The 22,769-nt window shown below is 44.2% G+C and overlaps 1 protein-coding gene, 1 non-coding gene and 1 pseudogene across 3 annotated transcripts in view, besides 5 other annotated features; all 3 read left to right on the plus strand.

Moving 5' to 3' along the window:
* Nucleotides 4,713-4,836, plus strand: RNU4-34P (RNA, U4 small nuclear 34, pseudogene; annotated as a pseudogene).
* Nucleotides 6,072-6,311: an enhancer, noted in NCBI's record as "active region_11974". NCBI's record gives its function as "activates an Ori minimal core promoter by ATAC-STARR-seq in GM12878 lymphoblastoid cells {active_cell/tissue: GM12878}" and the evidence as "EXISTENCE:reporter gene assay evidence [ECO:0000049][PMID:35858748]".
* Nucleotides 6,432-6,521: an enhancer, noted in NCBI's record as "active region_11975". NCBI's record gives its function as "activates an Ori minimal core promoter by ATAC-STARR-seq in GM12878 lymphoblastoid cells {active_cell/tissue: GM12878}" and the evidence as "EXISTENCE:reporter gene assay evidence [ECO:0000049][PMID:35858748]".
* The window catches only part of TAOK1 (TAO kinase 1), a 161,541-nt gene continuing 145,287 nt past the window's right edge, over nucleotides 6,516-22,769 (plus strand). The window contains exon 1 of one of the 2 annotated variants that reach the window (NM_020791.4): nucleotides 6,516-7,177. The gene's annotated coding sequence lies outside the window, so the exon portion shown is untranslated. The remainder of the gene's footprint in view (nucleotides 7,178-22,769) is intronic. The other variant, NM_025142.1, reaches the window with a different exon arrangement.
* Nucleotides 6,562-7,031: a silencer, noted in NCBI's record as "silent region_8372". NCBI's record gives its function as "represses an Ori minimal core promoter by ATAC-STARR-seq in GM12878 lymphoblastoid cells {active_cell/tissue: GM12878}" and the evidence as "EXISTENCE:reporter gene assay evidence [ECO:0000049][PMID:35858748]".
* MIR4523 (microRNA 4523) lies at nucleotides 6,815-6,883 on the plus strand. The gene has a single exon (NR_039749.1). It is a non-coding gene; the product is annotated as a microRNA 4523 (primary transcript).
* Nucleotides 7,682-7,921: an enhancer, noted in NCBI's record as "active region_11976". NCBI's record gives its function as "activates an Ori minimal core promoter by ATAC-STARR-seq in GM12878 lymphoblastoid cells {active_cell/tissue: GM12878}" and the evidence as "EXISTENCE:reporter gene assay evidence [ECO:0000049][PMID:35858748]".
* Nucleotides 17,511-17,580: an enhancer, noted in NCBI's record as "active region_11977". NCBI's record gives its function as "activates an Ori minimal core promoter by ATAC-STARR-seq in GM12878 lymphoblastoid cells {active_cell/tissue: GM12878}" and the evidence as "EXISTENCE:reporter gene assay evidence [ECO:0000049][PMID:35858748]".

The raw sequence follows: 22,769 nt of genomic DNA on the forward strand, positions 1-22,769 counted from the left end.
TCCCATGATCAGTGCATCATGGTTGATTGTCTGGGACATCTGTGGCTATAGGAAGGGTTGGGCAGCATGTTTGTGGACTGAGAGGTTTTTGGAATGTATCTTCAGGACGAGTTGGTGATTTTATTATGCCCTTTGCTATGGCTGACATCTGCCAGGATTTAAAAAAATCTACATGAATTCCTACCAGATTTCTGCCACACATCATATGAAACACAAACAGCTGGCAATCAAAACATAAAATAAGTTAATATTTTATTGGCTTGGGATTTTCTTTAGGCTTCCTCTTTGGACTTCTCTTTACTAAATAGGAGTAATATACTAGTAGGAAGTCTTTTGGGGCCAGGTGCACTGATTCATGCATGTAATCCCATGACTTTGGTAAGCCAAGGCAGGAGGATCACTTGAGGCTAGAGTTCGAGACCAGCCTGGGCAACATGGCTAGACCCTGTCTCTACAAAAAATAAAATAAAAAATTATCTGGGCATGGTTGTGTGTGCTTGTAAGTCCCAGCTACTTGGGAGGCTGAAGGTGGAGGATCCCTTGAGCTCAGGAGTTCGAGGCTGCAGTGAGCTATGATCACCACTGTACTTCAGCCTGAGTGACAGAGCAAGACTCTGTCTTAAAAAAACAAACAAACAAAAAAAGAAGTCTTGTGGTTGAAGGTGACAATTCAAATCAGCTTTTTTTTTTTTTTTTTTTGAGACGGAGTCTTACTCTGTCGCCAGGCTGGAGTGCAGTGGCGTGATCTTGGCTCACTGCAACCTCCGCCTCTCGGGTTCAAGCAATTCTCCTGCCTCAGCCTCCCAAGTAGTTGGGACTACAGGTGTGCGCCACCATGCCTGGCTTAATTTTTGTATTTTTAGTAGAGACGGGGTTTCACTATGTTGGCCAGGCTGATCTCGATCTCTTGACCTCGTGATCCGCCCGCCTCGGCATCCCAAAGTGCTGGGATTACAGGCGTGAGCCACTGTGCCCGGCCCAAATCAGCTTAAGGGTGGGAAAAAAGAAATATATTAGGCCCTGTAACTGAAAAATCAGTGCCACAGGAGCTTAAAAAGTTTTGTTAAGTGTTTGACTCTGTCTCCCTTTTTTCTGTCTCTCCACACACCACACCCAGCTCCCAATCCCTGGGTATTTTTCTTTATAGATTGGGTTTTGTTATAAAGTTGAGTGTCCATACTGGGTCAGGGGATACAGCTGGTGAACTTGGGTGCTTCCCACTGCTGCCACCTAGTTTTAATACACCTCAACACTGAATGCTGTCATGGATACTGTCTACACACAGGAAATGAATCAGGAAAATTTCTAATATCTGTTTTAATCAAATGCTTCCTTTGGCCAGGTGCAGTGGCTCATGCCTGTAATCCTAACAGTTTGGGAAGCCAAGGTGGGCAGATCACTAGAGGCCAGGAGTTCGTTACCAGCCTGGCCAACATGGCGAAACGCCTTCTCTACTAAAAATACAAAAATTAGCCCAGCATGGTGGTGCATGCCTGTAATCCCAGCTACTCAGGAGGCTGAGGCACGAGAATTGTTTGAACCCAGGAGGCAAAGGTTGTGGTGAGCCGAGATTGTGCCACTGCACTCCAGCTTGGGCAATAGAGTGAGACTCTGTATCAAAAAAAAAAAAAAATCAAATGCTTCCTTTACTGATATGTTGTATTATACCCACTAGAGACAGTGAGTGTCTCAAAATTCAGGTTTTAAACAACCTCTCCTACATAACCTGCTCTCTCCTACTCACTGCCCAGAAACCCCCGAAGAAGGGACAGAGGTCTGGCCCGGATATCATATGGCACCATGTAAATGGTTACCATGAAACTTGCCTTTTATTTCTCCTCTTCATAAATTTACTCAACACAGAAATGTTAGAATGTTGTAAATGTAGAATTTGAAGGCATTTGAGACTTTGTGAGGATGAGATCAGAACTTGGAGCTTATGAACCATAGACATGCTTCTATAAGCAATTTAAGCAGGCTTCACATAGATCATATGGAGGAAAGCTTGCATCTTGGTAGTTTATTTTATGCAACAGAGGGATGCTGGATGAGGGAGATGGGGTCTGTGTGGGAGGAACTCCATAGAAAGTCTAGATTTACATCATCCCAGTTTATGAGCCCAAAGGCAAAGCAAAACTTCTCACTCTCACAAAGCAGTATATAAAATCCAAATGAACATCTCTGAGTGGTCCAGCTTGGGCTCTGGGTCATGTACCCTTCCCTGGCCCAGTTGCTTCACCAAGGGGTGAGCTATTTTGGTTGCCCACGCTGTGACGGCGTGCCCATCTGTAGCAAGAGGCCCAGAGTAACAACCCCACAAGAACTCCACAGAACAACAGACAGGAAAGTTCTCTAAGAACTGTAGAGTAATTAAAAAAATTTTTTTTTGAGACAGGGTCTCACTTTGTCACCCAGGCTTGAGTGCAGTGGTGTAAACAGGGCTCACTGCAGCCTCAACTTCCCAGACTCAAGTGATCCTCCCACCTCAGCCTCCCTAGTAGCTGGGACTATAGGTGCACACCAGCACACCCAGCTAATTTTTGTAGAGATGGGGTTTCCCCATGTTGACCAGGCTGGTCTCAAACTCCTGAGCTCAAGTGATCTACCTACCTCAGCCTCCCAAAGTGCTGGGATTGCAAGTGTGAACCACCACACCCGGCCATAGGGTACTTTTTGCCAGAAGAAGAGGGAGAAATTTGGGACAGACAAGAATAACAGATGTTCACTACAAGTGGAATAGAACTGCTAGTGAGGCTAACTGATACGTTTTTTGTGGGGATGCTAGCTAGAGTAGAATATATTAGCACTTGTGGTCAGGTGAAATAAAGCAGCTATCACCTGGATACAACAGAACTTTCATATCCAGACAGGATCTTCACTATAAGTCTGAGACATGGGTAGGGCATATTCATTTTACAGTATATGCTTTTGGGAGTCAAGAGACACAGAGAAGCATAGCAGAAAACACATCATTTACATGACAGGACCGGCTATAACTCCGATACGTACATCAGTTTGGGAAGCAGGTGACTTCTAGACATTCTTAGAACCTTAGACAATCCTGAAAACATTTGACATGTGTAAGACTCCAGAAATACCCATCGGCCAGGCACATAGTGCCAAAGTGACAGTAACCTCCAGAGAACTCTAGCATGTGTGTACACCTTTTCCTAGAGTTCTCTGTCACACTAACATTTGCAGCAGCTATTCTTCCATACACTCCAGGCAAACAGCTTTCATTCACTCACTCTTCTTGACATCTCCCACACCTAACCCAATTTCTGACACATAGGAGAAAATGTCTGCAGAATTATTGAACTGATAGCAAACATTTGTTGAATGTCATTATGTACATTATGCTAAGTTTGTGGACATAGATATAAATAAGACAAATATTCATATGCTTGTGAAGATCACAGCCTGGTGGGAAAGGCCAAAAAATAAACAGTTCTGTGTGAGGACTATTTGGTTGCAAACAAAAGAGAACCAGACCCAACGTTAGCTTAAGAAAAATGGGAATGTTTTAGCACACAAATGCTAAAAACTCCAGGGTCAGGACTGACTTCAGACAGAGTTAGTTCCAGGGCTTCAGTGATCTGGTTTTATCTCCAGAATGTGTTTCCCACTGAGTTGCCTTTGTTCTGGGGCTTCACAGCAAAAGGCAATAGCAATTCCAGTCCTTACATTCTCTCAAGGAAATAGAATGTAGTGGCTCTGAGAACTGCTTGAACCCGGGAGGTGGAGGTTGCAGTGAGCTGAGATCGTGACACTGCACTCCAGCCTGGGCAACAGAGCGAGACTCCGTCCCAAAAAAAAAAAAAAAAAAGAATATAGACCGAGCACAGTGGCTCAGCTTGTAATCCCATCACTTTGGGAGGCCAAGGCGGGTGAATCACGAGATCAGGGGTTCGAGACCAGCCTGGCCAATATGGTGAACCCCCCCCCGTCTCTACTAAAAATACAAAAATTAGCCGGGCGCAGTGACACGCGCCTGTAGTCCCAGCTATTCAGGAGGCTGAGGTAGAAGAATTGCTTGAACCCGGGAGGCAGAGATTGCAGTGAGCTGAGATCGCGCCATGGCACTCCAGCCTGGGCGACAGAGTGAGACTCTGTCTCAAAAAAAAGAAAAAAAGAAAAAAAAGAACACAGTGGTTCTGGATGAAAGCTGAGTTTGACAACTGGCTTCACCACAAACTGGCTATAAGAACTTTGACAAGTTAATCAAAATTCTTCTCTGTGCCTCAGTGCCACTCTTTCTTTCTTTCTCTCTCTCTCTCTTTCTTTCTTTTTGACAGAGTCTCGTTCTGTTGGCCAGGCTGGAGTGCAGTGGCACAATCTCCTCTCACTGCAACCTCTGTCTCCTGGGCTCAAGCAATTCTCTTGCCTCAGCCTCCTGAGTAGCTGGGATTACAGGCGTGTACCACCATGCCCGGCTAATTTTTTTCACGATGTTGGCCAGGCTGGTCTCGAACTCCTGACCTCAGGTAATCTGCCCACCTCAGCCTCCCAAAGTGCTGGGATTACAGGCATGAGCCACCGTGCCAGGCCCAGTTCCACCATTTCTAAAAGGGAATAATAATTATACCCACCCAATATGGTTATTGTGAGGAGTAAATAAGTAGAGTGTTTAGAACTCTCTCTGGCATATAATCAGCACTCAATACGTGTTAACTATTTCACTATTTTTGTTATCATCATCATCAAATTTCAGAAACTTTGTGCAGTGGCAGTATTGTAGCCAATGAGATTTATCCGAGGTGTGATTATTGCTCATTGAAAAATCATAGGCTGGGCACGGTGGCTCACATCTGTAATCTTAGTACTTTGGGAGGCCGAAGCAGGTGGATCCTTTGAGGCCAGGAGTTCAAGACCAGCCTGGGCAACATGGCGAAACCCATCTCTACAAAAAATACAAAACTTAGCCAGCACGGTGGCATATGCCTGTAGTTCCGGTTACTTGGGAGACTGAGGTAGCAGAATCATTTGATCCTGGGAGGCAGAGGTTGCAGTGAGCCAGGATCACACCACTGGATTCCATTTTGGGAGTTCAATATATATATTACATTTTTGGGAGAAAATAAGAAAGTTTCTTTCCCAAAAAGCCAGAGAAAATCTTATTGTACCCATTGGCTCTAATTGGATCATGTGCCCATCCCTGAGCCAGACTAGAGGAAGGTCATACATACACTGTATACACGGATTGCTTAGGTCTGATCAACATGCTCCTTCCTTGGAGCACAGATCTACTATGGCCAGCCTGGTCTCGAACTCCTGACCTCAGGTGATCCGCCCGTCTCAGCCTCCCAAAGTGCTATAATTACAGGCGTGAGCCACCGGGCCCGGCCCAGAGTTAATTTTTATTCATGAAACTCATATAACAGGTTTATTTATTTCAGTCGTTTTGTTGGTTAAAGAACCAAGATTTTTTATGACTACACTTTGTGTACACTTTTAGGTTCTCTCTTTTTTTTTTTTTTTTTTGAGACGAGTCTCATTCTGTCGCCCAGGCTGGAGTGCAGTGGCGCAATCTCGGCTCACTGCAACCTCCGCCTCCCGGGTTCACGCCATTCTCCTGCCTCAGCCTCCCGAGTAGCTAGCTGGGACTACAGGCGCCCACCACCACGCCCGGCTAATTTTTTTCTATCTTTTAATAGAGACGGGGTTTCACCGTGTTAGCCAGGATGCTCTCGATCTCCTGACCTCGTGATCCGCCCGCCTCGGCCTCCCAAAGTGCTGGGATTACAGGCGTGAGCCACCGCGCCCGGCCTTACACTTTTAGGTTCTTGAATAAGTACTGAGGGAGTTTTCCCTAAAAAAAAAAAAAAAAGTTTTGAGATAAAAGAATAAAAACTCTACTTCTTCTTTGCATAGGAGTCTTTAGTTTGTTTGCTGCTCTTGTTCCAAAACTTCTCATTACTCAACCTACTAAACCCACAGACACTTTTCAAGAAGTTATCTCTTTTCTACATCACCAATATATAGGGTGGCTTAGATCTGTATTTCCAAGTCTTACTGTCGTTCCAAGAATTAGTATCAACTATTAGAATCTCAAAAACTCAACTGCATACTGATTGCGCTGCCCAGTGTACCTCTGAATCCCACGGGGGAGGGGGTGTAGAACCGAGTTGTGCAGGAATGGGATATTCCACACTTCAGGGCAAACTTATTCGCAGGATCAGTGGCGGGCTTTGGAGGTGGGAAGCAGGAAGGAAGGGGAATGCAGATAAACTCTTCTTCTTCAGATCTCCGGGGTGAAATGAATGCACCTGACGCCCGCGTGGCATTAGAAGCTCCGCGAACTCAGTGAGGCCATGCTGGACAGAGGCTGGAACTCCGGGCCACCGGGACAACTCTGCCCGTAGCAAGCCTTGCGCGCTCCTGTGAGGGCGCGCGCGCGCGCATGTAGTCGTGTCTCGCGCAGGGTCCGGCCTGTCAGGCGGAAAATCTCGCGAGATCGGAGACGGGGGATGACGGTCTGGAGGAGGGGAGTGGTGTCGGGTAAAGGGGGGGAAGCTGGGCAGCGGCCGGGCTCTGTGGCTTCAGGGCTCGGGGAGAGAGAGGGAGGGTGGCAAAGAGACTGAGTCGGTGCCGCCGCCTGCCTGAGGAGAGAGGAGGGGTCCCGCTCGCCCTGCGCCCTTCGCGGGCCGAAAGCACTAGGCACTCGCGAACATCTGAGGCCTCCCGGCCCCGGGGGACCCCGCCCCGCCGTCCGCCGGCCGGCCCGCGGCCTCTCTTCCCTTTGTGAGCGCCTCCTTACCAGGGGTGGTGTTGGTGGCGGAGGGCTGCGCGTGGGCCCGCCCGCCGAGGGGCCGCGGCGGGGGACCGAGAGGGCCTCGGCTGTGTGAGGACTAGAGGCGGCCGAGGCCCGGGCCGGTTCCCCCGAGGCGGCGACGGAGACGGCTCCCGGCACTTCCCCGCGCCATCTTAACTGAGCCCAAGCGCTGAGGGCGCCTCCTCGACCCCGGTCGTCCCCTCGCCCCCCCCCCCACCCCCCGCCGCCGCCGCCCCTTGTTGCAGAGCTTGGGCTGGGCGGCTTGCTGGGGCTCGGGGGTGGGGGGCGGCGATCTGTCGCCGGGCCCCCTCCTCCTCCTCACTCCTCACCCTCCAGGGTAGCGGCTACCGGAGCGCTGCAGGGGGCTGCGCCTGCCTGCTCCGCCCCAGACCTGTCGGCGAAAGGGTAAGGGCACCTCTGCTTTGGGAAAGGGGGATATAGAGGGGGGCGGGGAAATTCGGCCCACTCGGGCCTGTGTGTGGAAGAAGGGATGTGGGAGTGGGGTGGGGGAGGGAGAAAAGGAGGGTCTGTGATTCTGTGGGTGGGGTGAAGAAGCTGGTGAGCTGGGCGCCCTCCGGTTTTAAGGGGCGAGAGCAATTCCATTCCTTTTTCCTGAGGGTCACCGGAAGGGGTGGTGGAAGGGGGATGTTTCGAGGAAGGTGTGGCCCTCACAGGGAGACTGGGTTGATGTGCACCCCGGTTTAAAGGCGCGAGGTCCCCTTCCCCTCTGGTGCCTTTGCTCCTCTTCTCCTTTGTAGTGTCTGTGTATTCTTGGGAAGGGAGACTGCTCTGGGTGGCTTGCTGGGTGGATTCCACCCCCTAGCACAGGAAATCTATACCCCTCTTCTGTAGGGGCGATGGAAGCGTTTCTCTCCCCGTACCCTTCCCCCTTCCCCATCCTCTAGTCTACTGCAATGCTGCAGAAGTCCAAGGCAGTTTCTTCATACACAGACCCATGTATACACAGAAGGGAGGGGGAGCAGGAGAGGGAAGTAATGGCGCTTCCCTTGAAAAGGTTACTCTTTTTCCTTTGGTTTTAAATCGACGACAGTATCGTTTTAATACTCTTCCCCTGAGATCTGTCCATGGGAAGTGTATCTGTTCTGGTGTTATTGTTGGGGGATATGGCCTCTCGAGAGGGACACCTCTCCTGTTAGAACAGTTTTGATGTCTCTCTTTTTGAGAGATGTCTGGATTGACATTTTTTGTGAGCAGGTTGGATTTTAGTTAGAATTCAAATAAAATAATTTTGTACCTCCTCATCCTCATTTCCCTTTTCTTTTTCTATGACTTTTGTAGTTCATGAAGAATTATTGGCCTGGCGCGGTGGCTCACGCCTGTAATCCCAGCACTTTGGGAGGCCAAGGCGGGCGGATCACGAAGTCAGGAGATCGAGACCATCCTGGCTAACACGGTGAAACCCCGTCTCTGCTAAAAATACAAAAAATTAGCTGGGCATGGTGGCACGCGCCTGTAGTCCCAGCTACTCGGGAGGCTGAGGGAGGAGAATCGCTTGAACCCGGGAGGCGGAGGTTGCAGTGAGGCGAGATGGTGCCACTGCACTCCAACCTGGGCGACAGAGCGAGACTCCGTTTCAAAAAAAAAAATTATTAACAATTATTACATACAGACAGCCTGTCTGATTCAGGGCATTTCTCCCTAAGCTGTGAATTTTTAGGGTTGATACTGTTGTGTATAATATTGAAATTGGATTTTTTTTAAAATGGTAAGGTTACAAACCTTTCTGCAGCTGTTTCTTTGTTCTTATTAATCTGCCTAATTATTCTATGATCTATTTTCTGTAGTCAGTCATTTTTCACTTCTTTTGCTACCTGTCATGTTTGTCTGAAAGCAGATCATCTTATCTGGTTTACAGTAGTACTTGTTGGTTTTGTTCTTAGTTGAGTAGAAATAAAAATTTAAACATTCTGGAAATGTGCTGCCAAGTGCTTTTTGTGACCAAAGAGTAGTTTTCAAGTCTCCATGTACTGATGATACATTTTTTTCAAGTGTTTAGTAAATACTGGTGATGTGATTTCAAAATATTCCACATATGACTATTAATAGAATTAATTTTTTCCCAAAGTGAAGAAGAAGACTAAAATGTGTACAGATAATGAGTTGTCTTTGGTGTATTTAGTGTTTTCAGCTCTACTTAGTGACTTATTTTTAAATACTTCAAATGCCATCTACATTTTATGTTGTCATTAAATGTTGTCCAATAGAGCTTTTTTGGTGTGTTTGTTGCATTTTGAAACCTGTTTTAAGATAGGGATTTAAAGGTGTTAGTAGTAGCGCTAGGCACTAACTTAGTTTCTGTCATTTTATATCATGATTTTGATGTAGGAGACATGGTATGTTAAATAAGTTTTATTTTTTTTTCTCAGAAGATGGAATTCTCTTTTCTTTATTCCCTTTTAATGGTCATCTCAATTCATTGAAATAACACTATTCATTTGAGTATTTATTTCATGGGACAAAGCTGCATGTTGTTGATATGTAGAGTTTTCTCCATTATGGCAAATTATGCCAGGAAGTCTGATTCTCCGTATTATGGCTTGTTGTTGATAATTATTTCATATATACTAGCATGTGTTGATCGAAGCATACTGCTCAGTAAGGAGTGACTGCTTTTACCTTGGGAAGTTGTAGGCAGAGAGGATTTATCAATAGAGGCTACAAAACTTAAAGGATTTACATAGGGTGTAGGTTAACTATTTACTTGCTATATTTCAGCATGCTATAACTAAGGACAACTGAAAAAAAAACAACTCTCTTTTTTCATAGCTGGTAGGAATGTTGCCTAAAAGTGGAAAAGTATGTTCATGATCAATTAGATAAATACATTATTAAGGAAAAATTGCCTGAGGGTTATTTCAGATGACCTCTGATGCCACTGTCAGAAAGAAAATGCTGAGAGCTGTTAGTCTGAGTTGATTCTAGATTAGTATGGCACTTCTTATGTTTCTAAATAGTTCATCTACAAAATGGCAGTGTACATCACTTCCTGTTCTTTCACAACTGGCTCTTTCACTGGATTCTCTTTTAATGACTTAATTTTTGGCATTCTGATATCTGATTTGTTAATTTGGTTATAATTCTCATGTTTTATAGGTGGAAGAATTTCTGAGAATCAGCTGGATTTAAAGGCTTTTAATAGTTTAAGATTATCTTGACAGTAACAAAACATTGCTTCCAAACTAAAGGATAGTATTGCAAACAAATTTAAACTCTGAGAGGTTTTAAAGAAGTACAGCAATGTACAGAATCAGAAGTATGAGGGCACTGAATAGAAAATAATTATCGTATTTTTTATAATGTCGATTTTGGGAGAAGTGAGGATATGGCAAGTAATTGAATGGGTGTTGATATAAAATAAACTTTCTGTATAACAAGGTGTATACATGATATTTGGGCCCATGTTACGATGCCATTTTAACAGTAAGAAAGCAACTCTTTAGTTACAGGATACTAGAAAGACTGGATGCTCATAACTAACCATGAGTATGATTTATTTTAATAATTTGCCAGTTTTTTTTTTTTTTTTTTTTTTTTTTTTTTTTTGAGACGGAGTCTTGCTCTGTCGCCCAGGCTGGAGTGCAGTGGCACGATCTCGGCTCACTGCAAGTTCCACCTCCTGGGTTTACGCCAGTCTCCTGCCTCAGCCTCCTGAGTAGCTGGGACTACAGGCGCCTGCCACCAAGCCCAGCTAATTTTTTGTATTTTTAGTAGAGACGGGGTTTCACTGTGTTAGCCAGGATGGTCTCGATCTCCTGACCTTGTGATCTGCCCGCCTCAGCCTCCCAGAGTGCTGGGATTACAGGCTTGAGCCACCGTGCCCGGCAAATTTGCCAGTTCTTAATAGACATGAATATTTAGTAAATCCAGAAGATATCTAGGGGTCAGTTGTTGGCATTGAAATTAGAGTTGAGATCAATCTGTCTTTCGTGTCTTTCACCTGGAAATAAAGTCTGTGTTTTGCATTTGGCTTATTTGTATATTAAAATCACTTAATTTTTCATTTGTATCTCTGTTTTGTTTTCACTAGTCTCTGTTACTTATAACAATTAATTGCACTCATACTAATTTAATCTTTTAGAAATGAGGAGCATTTTTGGTACATATTAGTTGAGGGTTGCTGTTTGGATGAGGATCATATGTGAACGAATCCCTTCAAAAAAGTGTTATTTCTGGGCTGGGCAAAGTGGCTCAGGCCTGTAATGCCAGCGCTTTGGGAGGCTGAGGTGGGAGGATTGCTTGAGGCCAGGAGTTCAAGAGCAGCCTGGGCAACATAGCATGACCCTGTCTCTACAAAAACAAATTTTTTTTTTAATTAGCATGGGCTAGGCATGGTGGTTTATGCCTATAATCCCAGCATGCTGGGGGCTGAGGCTGGAGGATCACTTGAGCCTAGGAGTTTGAGGCCAGCCTGGGCAACATAGTGAGACCCTGTCTCCAAAAGATAAAAAATGAAAATATTAGTGGGGCGTGATGGTGCGTGCTTGTTCTAACTACCTGGCAGGCTGAGGTGGGAGGATTGCTTGAGCCCAGAAGATGGAGGCTGCAGTGAGTTGTGATCATGCCACCGCACTCTAGCCTGGGTGACAGAGTGAGACTGTCTAAAAACAAAAGCCTGTGTGGTGGCTCAAGCCTGTAATTCCAGCACTTTGGGAGGCCAAGGTGGGCGGATCACCTGAGGTCAAGAGTTCGAAACCAGCCTGGCCAACAAAGAGAGACCCTGTCTCTACAAAAATAAAACAAATTAGCTAGGCATGGTGGTGGGTGCCTGTAACCCCAGCTACTGGGGAGGCTGAGGCAGGAGAATCACTTGAACCCAGGAGGTGGAGGTTACAGTGAGTTGAGATGGCGCCACTGCCTGACAGCCTGGGCGGCAGAACAAGACTCCATCTCAAAACAAAACGAAACAAATAAAAAAGTTTTATTTCTCTAGTAAAGTTTCGCATAAAATTGAGATGTTCATTAAGCAGAGTACCAACATATGCTCACCTGCCTTTAGGTATGTGTACTTTTTTTTTTTTTTTTTTTTTTGAATTTGAGACAGGGTTTTTGCTGTGTCGCCCAGGTTGGAATGCAATAGCGTGATCACAGCGTATTGCAGCCTCAGCCTCCCGGGTTCAAGTGCTCTTCCCACATCAACCTCCCAAGTAGCTGGCACTACAGGTACATGCCACCACGTCTGGCTAATTTTTTTTTTTTTTTTTTTTTTTTGTAGAGATGGGGTTTTGCCATGTTGCCCAGGCTGGTCTTGAACTCCTCAGCTCCAGCTATCTACCTGCCTTGGCCTCCCAAAGTGCTGAGATTACAGACATGAGCCACTGCACCCGGCCCGATTTCCGTACTTACTATTAATGGTTGGATTTTAAAAATTATTCTTCAGGTTTTCCTATTATAAAATATGAGAGGATACAACCTGTATTAGTTCATTCCATTCTTAAAGTATTTTAGTTTTTAGTAATAAAAATTGATGTTTAATTTCATTAAAGATGTCTCATACCTTCTAAAAATCTACATGAATTAAAAAGTTGTGTGGAGGGACTAGCAGCAATTATTTTCAGCTGGGACGTTTCTGTCATCATATGGTAACAGTTATTTCTGTATCAGTCTATTTGTGCCAGAAGCAGACTTTTTGTTCTAAAATACAGTCTAAGGCTATACCTTTTTGATGACAAAATTAAGTATCCTATAAAAGTTGGAAGAGTTTTTAAAATGTTAAGTACCTGGCATGTAAATAAAGTAAGTAAAAGTATAAATTATTAAGTGCCTTGCATAATAGATATACTGCAGCCTCCTAAAAATGCCAGTGACCGTTATGCTGTAGGTTGTTATTTAAATATAATGGCACTTAATTACCGTCTAATTTATCTTTAAAGCTGAGAAGGGGCTAATTTTTCCTTTTGATAAAATTATTTGATCAAATAGTTTTATGCAGGTTTAGAAGTAGATGAATTACTGTAACATTTAGAAAGACATTCAAAGTTTAGTTTCTGAGAAATATTATCAAATAATAGGATGGAACAAAACTTTCTGGTTTGCAGCTACCAATAATAAAATTGGCACTTACTATATATTAATGTTGGCTGGGCGTGGTGGCTCACGCCTGTAATCCTAGCACTTTGGGAGACCGTAGATCACTTTAGGTCAGGAGTTCAAGACCAGCCTGGCCAATGTGGAGGAAACCCGTCTCTACTAAAAATACAAAAAATTAGCTGGGCGTGGTGGCGTGTGCCTGTAATCCCAGCTACTTGGGAGGCTGAGGCAGGAGAATCGCTGGAACTTGGGAGGTAGTGGTTGCAGTGAGCTGAGATTGTGCCACTGCACTCTAGCTGGGCAACAGAGTACAACTCTGTCTCAAAAAAAAAAAAAAAAAAAAAGGGCTGGGCATGGTGGCTCACGCCTGTAATCCCAGCACTTTGGGAGGCTGAGGCGGGTGGATCACCTGAGGTCAGGAGTTGCAGACGAGCCTGGCCAACGTGGCGAAACCTCGTCTCTACTAAAAATACAAAAATTAGCCGGGCGTGGTGGCACTTGTCTGTAGTCCCAGCTACTCGGGAGGCTGAGGCAGGAGAATCATTTGAACCTGGGAGGCAGTGGTTGCAGTGAGCCAAGATCGTGCCACTGCATTCCAGCCTGGGTGACAGAGTGAGACTCTGTCTCAAGAAAATAATAAAAAAGTTAAAAAATGGCTGGGTGCCGTGGCTCACGCCTGTAATCTCAGCACTTTGGGAGGCCAAGGTGGGCAGAACACAAGGTCAGGAGTTCGAGACCAGCCTGGCCAGCATGGTGAAACCCTGTCTCTACTAAAAATACAAAAAATTAGCCGGGCATGGTGGCGCGCACCTGTAGTCTCAGCTACTCAGGAAGTTGAGGCAGGAGAGTTGCTTGAACTCAGCAGGCGGAGGTTGCAGTGAGCCGAGATCGTGCCATTGCACTCCAGCCTGGGCAACAGAGTGAGATTCCGTCCCCCCCCAAAAAAATATATATATATATATACATGTATACATGTATATATGTATATTCATGTATGATACATGTATACATGTATACATGTATATTCATGTATGCATACATGAATATACATGTATGTATATACATATATACACGTATATATACACGTATGTATATATGTATACATGTATATTCGTGTGTATATATGTATATTCATGTATGTATATATGTATATACATGTATATATATGTGTATATATATATATGTATGTCACCATTTACTAGTGTAAATGTGTAACTTTTTCAGTTTTTGTTTTTTTGAGATGGGGTCTTGCTGTGTCACCCAGGTGGGAGTGCAGTGGCACAGTCATGGCCCATAGCAGCCTCTACCTTCAGGGCCGAAGCCGTGAGTAGCTGAGACTGCAGGCCTATGCCACCATACTTGGCTTATTTTAAAGTTTTTTTCGAGAAACGGGGTCTCTATGTTGCCCAATCTGGTCTCAAACTCATGGGGGCTCAGGCAGTCCTCCCTCCTCAGCATCCCAAAGAGCTGGGATTACAGGCATGAGCCACAGTACCAGGCCTGTGGTAACTTCTTTATTTAACTATTTATGCCTCACCTTTTCTTTTCTTTTTTTTTGAGACGGAATTTTGCTCTTGTTGCCCAGGCTGGAGTGCAATGGCATGATCTCGCTCACTGCAACCCCTGCCTCCCAGGTTCAAGCGATTCTCCTGCCTCAGCCTCCCAACAGCTGGGATTACAGGTATGCGCCACCATGCCCAGCTAATTTTTTGTATTTTTAGTAGAGACGGGGTTTCTCCATGTTGGTCAGGCTGGTCATGAACTCGTGACCTCAGGTGATCGCCTGCCTTGGCCTCCCAAAGTGTTGGGATTACAGATGTGAACCACTGCGCCAGGCTTCTTTTCTTTTCTTTTCTTTTCTCTTTTCTTTTCTTTTTTAGAGATGGAGTTTTGCTCTTGTTGCCCAGGCTGGAGTGCAATGGCGTGATCTCGGCTAACTGCAACCTCAGCCTCCCAGGTTCAAGTGATTCTCCTGCCTCAGCCTCCCGGGTAGCTGGGATTATAGGCATGTGCCACCATGCCTGGCTAATGTTTTTGTTTTTTTAGTAGAGACAGGGTTTCACCATGTTGGCCAGGCTGGTCTTGAACTCCTGACCTCAGGTGATCCACCCACCTTGGCCTCCCAAAGTGCTGGGATTACAGGCGGGCATGAGCCACCACACCCGTTAATGTGAAGATAGTATATACTGGGTTGTTTAAATAGGATAATGCTTGCTAAGTACTTAACTTACTGCCTGATACATGCTAACACTCAATAAATTGTTGGCTATCACACACTAGCTGCCTAATATAAATGTTTATGAGTACATTGAGATAATTTTTTTTTTTTTTTTTTTGAGACAGGGTCTCACTCCTGTCACCCAGACTGGAGTGCAGTGGCACGATCTCGGCTGCCTGCAGCCTTGACCTCCCAGGCTCAAGTGATCCACCCACCTTTGCCCTCCAAGTAGCTAGGACTACAGGCAAATGCCACTGCCTGGCTAATTTTTGTATTTTTTGTGGAGATGGGGTTTTGCCATGTTGCCTGGTCTGGTATCGAACTCCTGAGCTCAAGTGGTTCCACCTGCCTCAGCCTCCCAAAGTGCTGGGGAGAGTCTAATATTTAAGGATGAGTTGCATTATATAATTTTGATTTGATATTGGATTTATTTTTATTTATTTATTTTGAGACGGAGTCTCGCTCTGTTGCCCAGGATGGAGTGCAGTGGCACAATCTCGGCTCGCTGCAACCTCTGCCTGCCCTGTTCATGCCATTCTCCTGCCTCAGCCTCCCAAGTAGCTGGGACTACAGGCGCCCGCCACTATGCCTGGCTAAATTTTTGTATTTTTATTAGAGACGGGGTTTCACCGTGTTAGCCAGGATGGTCTTGATCTCCTGACCTCGTGATCTGCCCGCCTTGGCCTCCCAAAGTGCTGGGATTACAGGCGTGAGCCACTGCGCCTGGTGATATTGGATTTATATATCTGGAGTCTGACATACATTTTTGAAAGAAATAGTTAGAATATCAAGGTAGCTTAGTAACTTTTTGCACCTATAATGGACTACTGTGTAGTACTTAATGGGAGTTTTTTTCTTTCTTTGGGATAGATTCTCGCTCTGTCACTCAGGCTGGAGTGCAGTGGTGAGATCAAAGTTCACTACAGCCTCAATCTTCTGGACTTAGCGATCCTCTCACCTCAGCCACCTCAGCAGCTAGGACTACAGGCGTGCACCACCACACCTGGCTAATTTTTTTTTATTTTTAGTACAGACGAGATCTCACTATGTTGCCCAGGTTGGTCTTGATCTTCTGAGTTTAAGTGATCCTTCTGCCTTGTTCTCCCAAAGTGGTGAGATTATACACAGGAGCCACTGTGCCCACCTCTGATGGGAGTTTTTAATTTATCACAGGTTTTCTTTTTCCTTTGCTGGATATAAAGCCTGTCTTAAGAAATGACATTTCAGGCCGGGCGTGGTGGCTCAGGCCTGTAATCTCAGCACTTTGGGAGGCCGAGGTGGGTGGATTGCTTGAGGTCAGGAGTTCAAGACCATCCTGGCCAAAGTGGTGAAACCCCGTCTTTACTAAAAACACAAAAATTAGCTGGGTGTGGTAGTGGGCGCCTGTAATCCCAGCTACTTGGGAGGCTGAGGCAGGAGAATCACTTGAACCAGGCAGAGGTTGCAATGAGCCGAGATCGCGCCATTGCACTCCAGCCTGGGAGACAAGAGCAAAACTCCGTCTCAAAAAAAAAAAAAAAAAACAACAAATGACATTTCTTTTCCAGTACTTACTTTGTTTATTTAAGAAAAATTTGGTATCCCTCTTCTACCTCCTGGAGCTCTTTTTACCATCCCTGTCTTTGAAGGGATTCAGAGTACCCATGCTCTTCTACGCATTTTTATTTAGGTATCTTTTGTAGGTATGTCCTTACCTTGAAAGTGCCTTACGTTCCAAAATGTATTAATTCAACAAACTTTAAGTGATTATTATGTGCCAGATAAGACAGTATTTCAGCCCTGGGAGAATTCCACCTTCTGAATAGTTTTCTCAAGCTAGATAATCATAGGAAAGCAAGGACTTTCCCATAATTTTTAGTTCCTCTAAGCCAGTGCTTTCAAACTTTAGTTTGTGATCCATTAATGGCTTGTAAATTCAATTTAGTGAGTCACAATAACAATTTTAAAAAGTAATGGGGAGTGTCAGTGTGGTGCATAAAGTAAGGGTAAACATTATTATGGGAAACTTTTGTTTGCCTCTTTTTTTTTTTTTTTTTTTTTTTGATGCCAGGGTCTTGCTCTGTTGCCCAGGCTGGAACGCAGTGGTGTGATCATAGTTCACTGCGGCCTCCACCTCCTGGCTCAAGTGATCCTCCCACCTCAGCCTCCTGAGTAACTGCGACTACAGGTGTGCACCACCACACCCGGCTAATTTTTGAAAAAATTTTTTTGTGCAGACAGGGTCTTGCTATGTTGCCCAGGATGGTCTCAAATTCCTGATCTTAAGTTATCCTCTTGCCTTGGCCTCCCAAAGTGCTGGTATTACAGGTGTAAGCTATTGTGCTCAGCAGTTTGCCACATTTTTATATGTTCTGGGTACCCAGTTACACTGTTATAAAGACATACCTGAGACTGGGTAATTTATAAAGAAAATAGGTTTAATGTGCTCACGGTTCTGTGGGCTATACAGGCATCTGCATCTGGGGAGGCTTCAGAAAACTTACAATCATAGCGGAAGTGGAAGTGGGCATATTTTCCCATGGTTGGCAGGAGAGAGAGGGAGAGTGTGCATGTGTGTGGACACGCAAGCGAGTGAAGGGGGAAGTGCTACAAACTTTCCACTTTCCAACAACAGTAGCTCTTGAGAACTCACTATCAACTAGAACAGCAAGGGGGAAATCCACCCCAATGATCCAATCATTTCCACCAGGTCCCTCCCCCAACTTTGGAGATTACAATTTAACATGAGATTTGGGTAGGGACACAGAGCCAAACCATATCACTTTCTTTTTCTTCTCTTTTTTTTTTTGAGACAGGGTTTTACTCTGTTGGGAGGCTGGAGTGCAGTGGGGTGATCATGGCTTGCTGAAACCTCTGCCTCTTGGGCTCAAGCAATCCTCCCACCTCAGCCTCCTGAGTAGCTGTGCCACCACGCCTGGCTAATTTTTGTACTTTTTGTTCTTTTTGTTTGAGACGGGGTTTCGCCATGTTGGCCAGGCTGGTCTTGACTCCTGGCCTCAGGTGATCTGCCCACCTTGGCCTCCCAAAGTGCTAGAATTATAAGCGTGAGCCACTGTGCCTGAACTAAAATTTCTTTTTTTACCTCATCCCTTTTACTTCTAATCTTCTGTCTCTGAAGTATGCTTGTTTTAGTTTGCTTTTTCCTTTTTCTTTCAACAACTCTCCTTCAATCTCTACTGATTCATCTGTAGTCTATTTAGTCGTTATATTGGGTATATTTACCTTTCCTAGGTTTCAAAGCTTAGGAGATAGCAAGGACTTTGCCTAAAAGGTCCTGGGCAGGGTACCAGTAGTTTTGGATAATCATGGTAACTTCTGAGGTTTTTGTATTAAGGAACGTGTTATCAGATATCTAATGTCACACACTATGTGTGAGTGCAGTTTCTCATGAATTGCAGAATTTTAAAAAAAGAAGACTTTCTATTTAATTTTTTTAAGACGGTCTCAGTCCCCTTCCCTATGCTAGAGTCCAGTGGCACACAATGATGGCTCACTGTGCCTCTACTTCCCGGGCTCAGGTGATCCTTTTACCTCAGCCTACCAAGTAGCTGAGACTACAGTCATGCGCCACCATACCTGACTAATTCTTTTGTATTTTTTGTAGAGATTAGGTTTTGTCACATTGCCCAAGCTGGTCTCGAACTCCTGAGCTCAAGCAATCTGCCTGCCTCAGCCTCCGAAAGTGCTGGGATTACAGGTGTGAGCCACCATGCCTGGTTGAAAACTTTTTATTTGGAGGATATTAAGAAAATATCTTTTATTTTTATTTTATTTGGGGACATATATAGATTTGATTTAATTGAAATACGTCTGTTCATAAAATTATTATGTGACTAATTAAGTATATTAAGTATATTTTAAAAATGCCAGGCCAGACGTGATGGGTCATGTCTTTAATCCTAGCACTTTGGGAGGCCGAGGTGGGTGGATCACTTGAGGTCACGAGTTCAAAACCAGCCTGGCCAACATGCTGAAACCCTGTCTCTACTAAAAATACAAAAAAATTAGGCCCGGCGCAGTGGCTTACGCCTGTAAGCCCAGCACTTTGGGAGGCCGAAGTGGGCAGATCACAAGGTCAAGAGATCAAGACAGAGCAAAACTTAGTCTCAAAAAAAAAAAAACAAAATTAGCCGTGCATGGTGGCGGGCACCTGCAATCCCAGCTACTAGGGAGCCTGAGGCAGGAGAACTGCTTCAACCTGGGAGGTGGAGGTTGCAGTGAGCCAAGATTGTGCCATTGCACTCCAGCCTGGGTGACAGGGCAAGATTTTGTCTCAAAAAAAAAAAAAAAAAAAAAAAAATCAGTGTGCTGCAATGTGTTACATCTAACCATAATATTTATGTTTTAGTTGATGTTTTTAATTCACTCATGGTAGTAGTTACAAACCTCTAGTTTGTATTTTGGATTGATTTGTTACAATTTATTCCCATTGAGGCTGAGAAAGAGGTTTCAGAAAAGGTTGATGAACAGCATTACTAAACAAGGTCAAGGTTTTTCCGTTTTTAGACTTGGGGAATTTAGGGTTACTGAAAATTGGAAAAGCTTTGTCTTTTTGCCAAAACCATCCATATCCTTGATTGTACTTGATAAGGAAACTTTGCTCTTCCTTGTTGTACAGAAACTTTGTATAGTATATGTTGTTTTATTTAATATATAGTATTTAAGTAATCTCCTGCTGCATAAATGGTAGATGATGATGATGTTTTATAGGGCTCATTACTTGATAGGAGTATGGTATTTCAGTTGGTTTTATTTACTGGAATTAGAGTTTTGAGTCCCAGAGGGGCAATATAATGTGCTCACTTTCAGATTCTTTTTTGTTTTTTGTGTTTCTTTTCAGACAGGGTCTTGCTCTGTCACCCAGGCTGGAGTGTAGTGGCACAATCACAGCTCACTGCAGCCCTGACCTCTTACACCGAAGCAGTCCTCATACGTCAGCCTCCCAAAGTGCTGGGATTACAGGTGTGAGCCACCATGCCTGGCCTAGATTCTTTACTTTGACATGTCGTTATTAGTGATAATGATTTTTTAATTCTCTAGAAAAGTACAAATAATTTGAAAATGGAGTAATTAAAAGATCATTTTATCTTCAGCTTAGGTAGTGAAAAAGTATTTTTGTGTTTTATGTGTGAATGTCTAGTTCTATAAAATAATGCCATTAATCTTTAATCAAGAATAAAAAAGTTGGCTGGGCATGTAAAAAATAAAACAGTGTTGAGATATGAAATATTTCTGTGTGTGTGTGGGGGGGGATTTTGTTTTGTTTTGTTTTGTTTTTGAGACAGGGTCTTACTCTTTTAAGAACCTGTTGTAGGACTCCAGACTGGAGTGCAGTGGTAGGATCACAGCTCACTGCAGTCTTGACCTCCTGGGCTCAAGTGATCCTCCTGCCTCAGCCCCACAAGTAGCTAGGACTACAGCCCTGTGCTACCACACCCAGCGAATTTTTTGTATTTTTAGTAGAGACGGCTTCACCGTGTTGCCCAGGCTGGTCTTGGATTGCTGGACTCAAGTGATCCACCCAGCTCAATCTCCCAAGGTGTCAGGATTACAGGCATGAGCCACCACACCTGGCCTGAAATATTTGCTAAAATAAGTAAAATAACTATGATATAAAAACTTTTGGCTAGGCATGATATCTTCCGCCTGTAATCCCAGCACTTTGGGAGACTGAGACAAGGGGATCGCTTGAGCCCAGGAACTCAAGACCAGCCTGGCAACATAGTAAGGCCTCATCTCTACTAAAAATAAAAAATTAGCCAAGTACGGTGGCATGTGCCTGTGGTCCCAGCTACTCAGGAGGCTGAGGCAGGAGGATTGCTGGAACCTAGGAGGATGGAGTTACAGTGAGCCATGGTTGTGCTACTGCATTCCAGCTTGGGCAACAGTGAGACCCTGTGTCTAAATAAATAAATAGGTAAGTAAAAACTGTTTAATTTTTTGACAATATGTTAAAATACACTACCATTCTGTATTTTAACATAAATTTTATTAGATTCAAGTTAGGTGGAATGATAGCCAAGATTTTAGTATCCATTATTTTACTCTATTTTATTCAAATGGCACTATGATATGAGTTCAAAAAATTTTTGAAACAGTGTCCTTTGTTTTGAGATGGAGTTTTGCTCTTGTTGCCCAGGCTGGAGCGCAATGGCATGATCTCGGCTCACCGCAACCTCCACCTCCCAGGTTCAAGTGATTCTCCTGCCTCAGCCTCCCAAGTAGCTGAGATTACAGGCATGTGCCACCAGGCCCAGCTTATTTTTGTATATATATATTTTTAGTAGAGATGGGGTTTCACCATGTTGGTCAGGCTAGTCTCAAACTCGTGACCTCAGGTGATACACCCGCCTTGGCCTCCCAGAGTGCTGGGATTACAGGCGTGAGCCACCTTGCCCTGCTGAAACAGTGTCCTTTTAAAAATGCTTTCAGAGCACAGTCATTAAGCCAGTTGGTTTACTCATGCTGCAGTAAATTTGGAAATAAATTTCAGTTTAATACTCTTTTGAGATATTCACATAGTTATAATTTGTAATTTGTTGGTATGTACTATGAAAACACCAAGTCAAGATAGTGATTGATGGAATTTGCTTTTAAAGACCACAAGTTTAGGCCAGGAGTGGTGGCTCATGCCTGTAATCCCAGCATTTTGGGAGGCCGAGGTGGGCGGATCACCTGAGGTCAGGAGTTTGAGACCAGCCTGGCCAATATGGTGAAACCCCGTCTCTACTAAAAATGCAAAAATTAGCTGGGTGTGGTGGCTCTCGCCTGTAATCCCAGCTACTCGGGAGGCAGAGGTAGGAGAATTGCTTGAACCTGGGAGGCGGAGTTTGCAGTGAGCCGACATCGAACCTCTCTACTCCAGCCTGTGAGACAGAGTGAGACTCCATCTCAGAAAAAAAAAGACAACCAGTTTAGCCAGTAAGTTATGTAGCTTTCATATCAAAGTAAGATTCAGCAATGACATACGTATTTCTTATATTTTTTGAGTGCAGCATTCTAGGCAGTGTGGTTATTAAAATAGGTTCAGTAATGACACATCTGTATTTATTAATACATTTTTTTGGTGTGTTATTTTGTAGATACTGTGCCAGTATACAGAAATCAGTAAGACTTGATCCCTCCCATTTTGTAGTTTAGTAGGGATACAGGCTTGCAAGTAAATACATACAATAGTGTAGTGCAGGGTTTCCCAACCGTGGTAGTATTGACATTTTGGGTAGGATAATTCATTGTTGGGGGGATCTGTGCTATGCATTATAGCATATTTTGCAGCATCACTGGCTTTTACCCATTAGATGCCAGTAGCGTCACCCCTGGTTGTGATGATCAAAAAATGTTTCAGGTATTACCAAATGTCCCCTAGGGAGCAAAATCACCTGATTGAGAACCATTTATTTAACTGTTATACAGGTAGAGTTAAGGGGTGTTTAGGAGTAGTGACTCCTGAGGGAGTGAGATTTTATATGGGTCTTGAAAAAAAAATAAAAGTACAAAGGGTATTATATACCTGAGAGCATGAATGATCAATATTGAAGAGGGTGATTACTGATCATATGTGGCTATAGGTTATTTATGTGATTTGGGATGGGTATTTGGTAAAATGAAGCTGAAAAGGTACTTTTGGGCCATATCTTTTTTCTTTTCTTTTTTCTTTTTTGAGACTGGATCTCACTGTTTTGCCCAGACTGAAGTGCAATGGCACAATCACGGCTCACTGTAGCCTTGCTT

Source organism: Homo sapiens, chromosome 17 (genome assembly GCF_000001405.40).
Source record: "Homo sapiens chromosome 17, GRCh38.p14 Primary Assembly".
Lineage (NCBI taxonomy): Eukaryota > Metazoa > Chordata > Mammalia > Primates > Hominidae > Homo > Homo sapiens.